The sequence below is a fragment of the Homo sapiens genome, chromosome 7, assembly GCF_000001405.40.
Source record: "Homo sapiens chromosome 7, GRCh38.p14 Primary Assembly".
Classification (NCBI taxonomy): Eukaryota; Metazoa; Chordata; class Mammalia; order Primates; family Hominidae; genus Homo; species Homo sapiens.
In genome coordinates this window covers 53,084,233-53,094,102 of record NC_000007.14, presented here as the reverse complement: position 1 = coordinate 53,094,102, position 9,870 = coordinate 53,084,233, and the positions used below count along the sequence as shown (strand labels likewise).

The 9,870-nt window shown below is 39.1% G+C and overlaps 1 annotated feature.

Moving 5' to 3' along the window:
- Positions 6,524-6,720: a silencer, noted in NCBI's record as "fragment chr7:53155076-53155272 (GRCh37/hg19 assembly coordinates)". NCBI's record gives its function as "represses an EF-1alpha promoter that drives an FKBP-Casp9 reporter gene in an ReSE screen in K562 erythroleukemia cells {active_cell/tissue: K562}" and the evidence as "EXISTENCE:reporter gene assay evidence [ECO:0000049][PMID:32094911]".

Here is a 9,870-nt window from a genome sequence, read left to right as displayed (position 1 = left end):
ACAAATACTATCTAAATTAGAGAAGCAAGCCTTATTTTTAAATCCCAATGTTTAATATAATGATATTTTGGATTTCACTAACATTTAAATATGCTTATCTCAGAAGGCTAATAAAATATCTTTGGAAAACCCTTACCTGTGGTGCACATTCATAATTCAATATTATCTTCGCATTTCACATGTGCAAATTAGAATAGGTGCAAGAATTGTAGATTAGAATGTCAAAGGGGCTGGTGATAATATCCTATACGATGCATTGTCTCTGCTAATATCTTAATTAGTTATGTAAAATAAATCTCTGAAATATTCTCAGTAGCATAAGTGATCCTCCAGCTTTGGTGTGTATGAAAATCAACAAGGGAGCATACATGAATGTTATTTTTTTGGCTCCATTCTCTGAGATTCTCAGTTAGTAAATCCAGAAGAAGACACTGAAATCTGCAATTTCAGCAGGGCCCCCAAGTAATTCTAACTCAGGAATTCAGAAACAAAGTTTGGAAAGTGTTGCTCTAGACATTGATATGTGGTTTCTTTCTGGAATGTATCCACAAAGAAACTTTTTCATTTTCTTTCTTAATCAATTGTTAATTTTGTATTCTTTCTTTCTCAGCACATGTTATAAACAAGGCATTGTGTGGTACACTGAAAGAAAGACAAAGAAGAGGGACAGATGATCTAGTCATTTAGACAGATATTGTGTGATTTGTAAATTCTTGTGTCATCCAAAAGACCACTGGAATGACTACATGGTAGAAAGGTGAGCTTTACTGGTGATATTGCTTTGCAAGTTGGGAAGATAAAGTCTGCAGCATGGGCCAAAGTTCCCCTTTCTACAAAAAGAACAAGTTGGGTTTTATAACTTACAGGGCCTGTATTATACATATCCAGCAGGTTTTGGGGAAAAGTTTTGCATATTTATGAGGGACATCAAGTGCATGTGCAATAGGTAAACATTCATATAATATGCATCCCATGTTCACTTTGGAGTGGGGTTTTAGCATTAAAATGGGGTGGAATTTAGCTCTTATGGGAAAGGTGAATTATAGAACAGAAAGACAGTTTATGCACACTCTCTATAAGCTGGCTGAAAATGGCTTAAGTTCTGCAGCTGTTTATCAAAAGAGAATGTTTGTGAGGCCGGTCCTGTGTTCAACCAGAATTGTAGTAGTCTAGGTTGTAAATCAGAGTTAGGAGACATCTGGTAGCTCTTATTGTTAGGGAGTTTACCAAGTGTGGTTTTTCTTGTAATTGTAGGAATTTAGGCAATTGCCTTCCCAGCCAGGTCCTGAACCCTTGACATGTAGGTAACTGCATCCTTAAGCTTAGGGTCTGCCTTAGTTGATATAGGGGCATCTATTTTGGTGTCTCAGATCACAAGCACATACTCTAAGGATTTACAGGTAAAAGTTATACAATTAATCTAATAGCAACGTACAGATTGGTTAATTCCACTTTATTAGGAAATAATGTGCCCATGGAAGAAGGAATACCTAATGAAGACCTTCAGAGATGTTAGTCCAAGTTTTGTTGAAGAGGGAAGAAAATGTAAAAAACACAGAGGCTGGAATTTTAGGATGGGTTTGGAAATTGAATATAGTCTATTATTTCTAAGTTATATTTGTATACCTGGCTTAAATGTGATTTTGACAAGAATCTGAAGAACTTCCAATGCAATATTCAAGAATGAAGGCTCAATAGTTTTAAAATTGGAAAATATCAGATATTTCATAGTGGGCAGTGACAGTTTCAATGTTGTGTTTTAGAAGAAGATTTATCACAGCTACAGGAAAATGGATGAGAAAATGAAAAGACTGGAGGCCACAAATGAGCAAGGGCTAATGGTGGTTGTAAGTATGGGGATTTAAAAGGAAAATAAACATTGAGAATCAATTCTGAAGTAGAGGTGAAAGCACTTTGTGACTACTTTAGCATGCAAAACAAAACAATGTTGGAGCTGAAATGCATTCTGGAGTTTTCTATTTTGAGTTTTAGAAAAGATCCGCATGTCTTTAATCCGGACGAAGAGTGTTAAGAGAAGTTTGAGGCATGATGCTGGAAGCCACAGGGCATGCTGTATTTTGGCCATGTGCCTTTCATCATGCTTTTGTCTCTCTATCATGTACAGTTAAACCCTTCATTATCCCAGACTCAAGCCAAGGATATTCCCCTCTCTGCTCTGGAGCCTCTTTTAAATTCTTGCACTTCTTGATCACAAGGCCGGATATCAGTGTATTCAACAGAGCAGAAATAAACTTTATGATAAACTCCATTAGAAAGGATACCATGTAATAATATATATTGAGGATTCAATTATCATGTATAATATTTGCCTCTTATATTTTCAAAATTTGACAAAAGCAAAGGAAGTGGTAGGCTTATTTTGCATCTCTTACATGTAGTTTCTCTACCTTAATTTGAAAAACACAAACTATATATTTACACAGTTATATTAAAAGATCAAAATTAAATTCCCATTTTCCGAAAAGCAGAAAGATGGCTATAAAGAATTTTTTTTCATTTTAGATTTCATATATTGCTGTGAATTAGCTGTCAATATTCAATAAAGTACCTTCTGTTACTGGTGATATGAAAATGTGATTGCTATTGAACATTAAACAAAAGATGCTGGTAATTTTATAACAATTATGTTTTAGCTTTCCATACCAAAACAATGGTAATCAAATGTCATGCTTGAGAACTTTAGCTGATTGTCATAGGGAGAAACATCCTGCCACCAATGGTGCAATTATGGAGGAACATTAATGGGATATTTCACCTTTCCTTGAAGGGTAGAGCTAAGTCATTATAGCTGATATAATGCAGCTTGGGCTGATGGGCTGATGAAGCTTATCAAATCTTGTGCTCAGATGTATTTGCCATTATATTGCATTTAAATGCCATGTGTTATATAATTCAGTTACATTTCCATGTTTAAGGGAATGAGCTCAATACTCCCATCTGCCACAGAGAATATGGGTCTTCTGAGAATAGAAAAGAAAGAACTACCCTTGTATGCCATTTCACATTTCCCTGGAGTGAGACTTACTCTAACTTACATAGGACTCTAAGCAAAATTTCTGCTTTCACTAATTTTGTTCACCTCTCATACTTCTTGGAGCCCTCTCCCTGGAGAAAAGGGAACTTTTCTAGTCTCCAAAAAGTGGGTGAAAACCTGCAGAGACAATGAGTAGGTATGTGTAAGCTATGTAGGAATCAACATCGTGCAATCTGAAGGTTACCACATAATTTACTTTCATGACATACCAAAAAGTAAATCATTTCAGAAAACATTTGTAAATATTTTTATTTTGTCCTGCATTTTCATGTGCCAGTAAGCTCTGTGTACATACTTGTGATCATGGATTATGGAAGCTCACACCAGGACCAAATAAAACAACAAGAATCTTTGTGTTAAATTTTAAAGATGATATCTCCATGTAAGATTTCAATTTGTGAGTAAAAGAATGATCACACAATGCATGCAAGTCTCAGCCTTTTAAAAAATAAAAATATAACTATGTACAACACACATTGGATTTTATTACACATGTGTTTAAAATTTTAAAGGTAAAATGGAGCACAGGCACATGTCGAAAACCATTTGGAACTCTTCAATATGTAAACAAAAATGCTGAGACTCCCCCAAAGTTCTTTGTTTTTATTCTGTAAATTAATTATTCATGCTATACCAGGTGATCCCATGTTAAAGCAGATCAGAAGCAACCAGTAATTGGTATTAGCAGTCATTATAAATGGCAACTCTTGCCCTAAGTACCTTCGATGGAAATGAAGATCACATTCAGTCAGCTCCATTATTTTCTTGTCTAAGCAGTGGAGTCAATTATTTGGCAGCAGGAAGAAACTAGACATATCTGACTTCTAACTATATCTCAGGAATTAAGAAATTTTAATATGAATTAAGGTCATTATAGCTACCATTTAAGAATTTGCAATGGATCATACACTTTACACATATCATCTCATTTACTGAAGCAATCCTCTGGGATAGCTATTATTTCCTCTTGTGCTACAATGTAGAAGCCAAGGCTCACAGAGGGTTAAGCAATTTGCTGAGAGGTTCACTCATCTTGTATGTGGTTGGGGAAGGATTTAATAACAAATCTGTCTAACTTACTGGTATGATGGCAAATTGCTAACAAAGAACTCTCCAAAATATAGACATTATTAGTAGGATTTGCCAATGCCCATGTGTCAATTCCCACTATTGCCAATTTAAAGCTTCCGGAGTGACATCACAGAGTGCAAGATAAGGTAGATTTGCACAAAATCAGCTCTCATAAACTGGTTAGAGCCAGCCCAGCACATTAACAAGCTGTGACTTCAAAATCAAAATTTCCACCATTAGGTTTTGCTACAAACTATAAACAAAACAACAAGAAGAAAGAAAGAAAGAAAGAAACTAGCAAAAGAAAAAAGTAATCTTAGGCAGGGTTCTGACACATCTCCCTTTAACTAACGGCTTGGAAGATTTCCTGCTCAGATTTTTATTACAACCCGAATGTGTATTGTACGAGATTAAAGGACTTTCCACTACAATTGAGTATGTGTAACAGTTACAGGTATCAATTCTGTAGAGTTAATATACAGGACAAACCTGCCTATTTATTAGAGATCAACATACATAATAGAAAGAAAAGTGAGTGAGAAAAATAAAGGAATAAAAGTTTGAGAAACTCTTTCTAAAAAAGTTATCTATGATTCAGTCAAAAATCTATATCAAGGCCGGGCATGGTGGCTCATGCTTATAATCCCAGCACTTTGGGAGGCCGAGACCTGTGGATTTCTTGAACCCACTAGTTCGAGACCAGCCTGGGCAACACGGGGAAACCCTGTCTCTATAAAACAATACAAAAAATTAGCCAAGCACAGTGGTGCACACCTGTAGTCCCAGTCACTTGGGAGGCTGAGGTGGAAAGATTCCTTGAGCCCCCCTAAAAGTGTATATCAAAACATCACATTGTATATCATATATATACACACACACGCACACACACACACAATTTTTGTTGGTGAGCCTCAGTAAAGTTGGAAAAAATGTTTAAGAGCCAAGAAAGTAAAGGTGATTTTAACTGATTGCCTGCTGTTTATGATTGGCATTTTATATTGGCTTGATCATTAAATTATCACAATAATATTTAAGTTACAAATTATTATGATCGTGATTTTATAAACAAATTGAGGAAGATAGCAGAGATCATTTTCATCTCAGATTTTCCTTTATCCTCTGCACTTTGAGCCACACCCACTGTAAACAAAAAGGAAAACAAAATCAAAACAAAACAAAAACCTCTCCAAATTGTGTCCACACTCTCCACATGTCCCTGACTACTTCTATGTTGTCTACCTCTTTCACATACTGATGCAACTGGTTTCAAGCTTTATATGGCATTATCTTCATTCTTTCCTGCATTATAGGGTTCTTCTATTTTCCAATTAACCTAGATAAGTGAAAAGTACATGGAGAATGTACAGTTACATTTATTAAATGATTGGCTCTTCTCCACTCTGATCTTCATTCTCTCACAGTCTTAAAACGAATGCTCTTTAATCTTTCCAATTACATACTTCTATTTTCACAAAATCTGCCGTAGCATCGGTAACTACATGCCCTCATTGTCTAATGAAATCTTGGTCTCCCAGGTTGAGTGCAAGCATAAAAATGCAGCTTTACTTCATTATTTCTCTTTTCCATTTTTTTCCAGCTCTTACTCCTTCCACCTTAATGGCTGTAAATATGTATAAAAACGTGCTAAATAAATGGTTGTCACCTGGTTGTTATGAGATGTGAGTGATTAAATATTCAAAAAAGAAATGGAAAATCTCTTTAAAATGCAGTGTAATTTAATGTAATCATAGAATATGCTTTGGCAGGAAAAATGGAGACTATCTATTTTAAACTTTCGATTTATTGAAAATTGAAGAATTTGATAACGGAGAAGGCTTTATTTTTTTTGCCACAAATTAGTCTTAGGAACATGCACCAGAGGATCAAATATTTTAAGCACAGGCTTTTTGAAAGAAATCAAGAAAATATATATAATTGTGAAAGATACATTTTTTCTGAGATTGCATATCTGGGGGAGAACATGGGGTCACAATCTCATGTGTGAAATGTACGGAGACTTTATGACACCCAGACACGGGGTGCACACTTTACATGAAGAGCTATTCAGGGTAGGTCCGCTGGAATCAAATTGTCTTCGTTCGCTTTTGTCTGAAACTATCTTGATTTGCTCTTCACTCCTGAGCTCATGAAGTGTTATTTTAACGCTTATGAGCAGCTGGCATCCCTACTTTTAGAATGCAGAGAATGAAGCTTAGAGAGGTTGACCAAGTCCCCAGAGCTTACCCAGATCCTAACTGGCAGAGCAGGTAAGTACATCCACACTGGCCGCCCAGCCCCACGGGCTTGAGCATGATGTCAAATATGCGATTCAAGCTTTACATGAGCTCGATCATTCCAAGGGCCCAGGGAGGCGTCATGTGCGCACATGGGCAGCGACAAGGCTGCCAGGCAGTTTTCATGGGGCAAGCTGACACCCAGCCCACAGGCGTGCACGTTAGCGGATGAGGGGCATGCAGCCCAGGCCTCTGTGCTGAGTCTCCGCTTTCCCAACCCAGGCACCTGCAGCCCAGGCCTCCAGCCGACCTTCTGTGCTGAGTCTCCGCATTCCCAGCCCAGGCACCTGCATTTGGAGGCGCCCTCCCGGGGCTGGCGAAGGCTCATCGCTCCGCTCTGGCTCAGTTCTTTGCACCCCTAGCTCCTTGCCTCTCCCTCCTGGTTCCCTCGCCCATGAAAAGGCAAGGCGCGTTTGTTCGGGATTCCCTCCATAGGGGGTCGACAATGCCCCCGTCTGCCTTAAGTCACCTGCCCCTCCAAAGTATTCTTCCCAGGAGATATATGGGACACCAGGAGCCCCCAGGTCTTTCCTGGCCTCCCTCCTGCAACATCCTGACCGACAACGATGAGGGTGGATTCTGACTCCGCCTCTGGCTCATGGTGATTGGGCACCTGCACACCTGGCTGCACAGGTTAGTCAGCCGATGCACGCCTACCTGGGCTGAGGTACAACTGAAGTCCAGCCCCATGATGTCTCCTCCTGTCATCCTCAAAGTTGTTGATGTGAATGCTTGCAAAAGCATTTCTTCCCAACCTACTACGCCAGTTCAGGGAAATGCTCTGAATAATCTGTTTTTATTGACTTTCATTGGCCGCCTCCCTCACCCTTAGACGTCAAAAACTTGGCGGGTGCCGATGCCAATCTATCTATTTGGAGGATACAAATAAAGAACTGTGTGTTTTGAACCATCCCTTGGCCCCTGTTTGTTATTGTTATTGTTGTTATTTGTTTTGTTTTCCTCTAATATTTATGTATGCTGTTGTGGGAAGTCAGGGACCCCGAACGGAGGGACCGGCTAGAGCCACGGCGGAGGAACATAAATTGTGAAGATTTCATGAACATATGTCAGTTCCCCAAATTAATATTTTTGTAATTTCTTACGCCTGTCTTTACTGCAATCTCTGAACGCAAATTGTGAAGATTTCATTTAATATGGACATTTATCAGTTCCCAAAATTAATACTTTTATAATTTCTTATGCCTGTCTTACTTTATTTAATCTCTTAATCCTGTTATCTTCCTAAGCTGAGGATGTACCTCACCTCAGGACCACTATTGTGTTAACTGTACGAATTGATTGTAGAACATGTGTGTTTGAACAATATGAAATCAGTGCACCTTGAAAACAAACAGAATAACAGTGATTTTAGGGAACAAGAGAAGACAACCACAAGGTCTGACTGCCTGCAGGGTCGGGCAGAATAGAGCCATATTTTTCTTCTTGCAGAGAGTCTATAAATGGACATGCAAGTAGGGAATATATTGCTAAATTATTTTCCCAGCAAGGAATATTAATAATTAATACCCTGGGGAAGGAATGCATTCCTGGGGAGAGGTCTATAAACTGCAGCTCTGGGATTGTCTGTCTTATGCAGTTGAGTTAAGGACTGAAATAGGCCTTGGTCTCCTGCAGTACCCTCTGGCTTATTAGAGTGGGGAAAAAATCCTGCCTAGGTAAATTTGTGGTCAGACCAGTTCTCTGCTCTTGAACCCTGTTTTCTGTTGTTTAAGATGTTTATCAAGACAATACATGCACAGCTGAACATAGATCCTCAACAGTAATTGTAATTTCGCCTTTTGCCTTATGATCTTTGCTTTTGTCCTTACCCTGTTTCCTCAGAAGCATGTGATCTTTGTTCTCCTTTTTGCCCTTTGAAGCATGTGATCTTTGTGACCTACTCCCTGTTCATACATCCCCTCCCTTTTTGAAATCCATAATAAAAACTTGCTGGTTTTGCAGCTCAGGTGGGCATCACAGACCTACCAGTATCTGATGTCACCCCCAGTGACCCAGTTGTAAAATTCCCCTCTCTGTACTCTTTCTCTTTATATCTCAGACCAGCTGAAAAATAGGGAAAATAGAAAGAACCTATGTTGAAATACTGGGGGCGAGTTCCCCTGGTAGTATGCCTTTAGCATTTTCTTCCCTTTGGAAAAGTTTGGGCCAAAAGTTTTCATGGAAAGGATATGCCCAGTCAGCCTCCCACTTACTTGGATTCACCACTGTCCTGTGAGGTTCAGGCAGGCCTAAATTCAGGGAGAAAACATCTCCAGTGAAACCTGGATCTCTACTACATTCATTAATCCAAAAAGAATATGTTCTTATTGTATTACCATTTACAAAGCTCTTTGATATAATTTTCTCATTTAAGCTTTGCAATAACCCTACAAAGGAGGTAGGGAAACATTTCCTGTGTTGCAGGCTCTAGACCCCAGGCTCATATCTATTTAGCACCTCGCTCATGGCCTTCTGTTTTGTGAATGATGAACCATGAGTTTGAATTCAGTTCTTCCAGATAAAATCCATTTTCATTCAACTAAACCATATCATGCTGTCTTCAAAATACATAGTTCCAAAAACTGAAATGAGCAGCAGAGTTGATTTGTTTTTTTAATGATAGGCTTGAAAGATGTCAGTTAGCAAAAGAGACTGTGTAAAGTAGTATATCTGGTTTCTCAGGGGAGACCTCGTGCAGAACACTGGGGAGTGTTGCACAGCAAGTAGAAGGCATACTTTCATTTTCTTTCTTTTTTTTTTTTTTTTTTTTTCTGAGTTGGAGTTTTTCTCTTGTTGACCTGACTGGCGTGCAATGGCGTGATCTCAGCTCACCACAACATTCGCCTCCCGGGTTCAAGCGCTTCTCCTGCCTCAGCCTCCTGAGTAGCTGGGATTACAGGCATGTGCCACCACGCCTGGCTAATTTTTTCATACTTTTAGTAGAGATGGGGTTTCTCCATCTTGGTCAGGCTGGTCTCCAACTCCCGACCTCAGGTGATCCACCCGCCTCAGCCTCCCAAAGTGCTGGGATTGCAGGCTTGAGCCACTGTGCCTGGCCCTATACTTTTGTTTTCTTTTTCTTTATGTTTTTTTTTTTATTTTATTTATTTTTGTTGCGACAAAGTCTCGCTCTGTTACCCAGGCTGGAGTGCAATGGCACGATCTCTGCTCACTGCAACCTCCGGCTCCTGGATTCAAGTGATTCATCTGCCCCAGCCTCCCAAGTAGCTGGGATTACAGGTGTGCACCACCATGCCTGGCTAATTTTTGTATTTTTAGTGGAGATGGGGTTTCACCATGTTGATCAGGCTGGTCTCAAACTCCTGATCTCATGATTTGCCCACTTCGGACTCCCAAAGTGCTGGGATTACAGGTGTGAGCCACTGCGCCTGTAATTTAGATTTGAAACAATGTAAATTTTCATTTACAAATGGAAAAAGAAATCCTGAA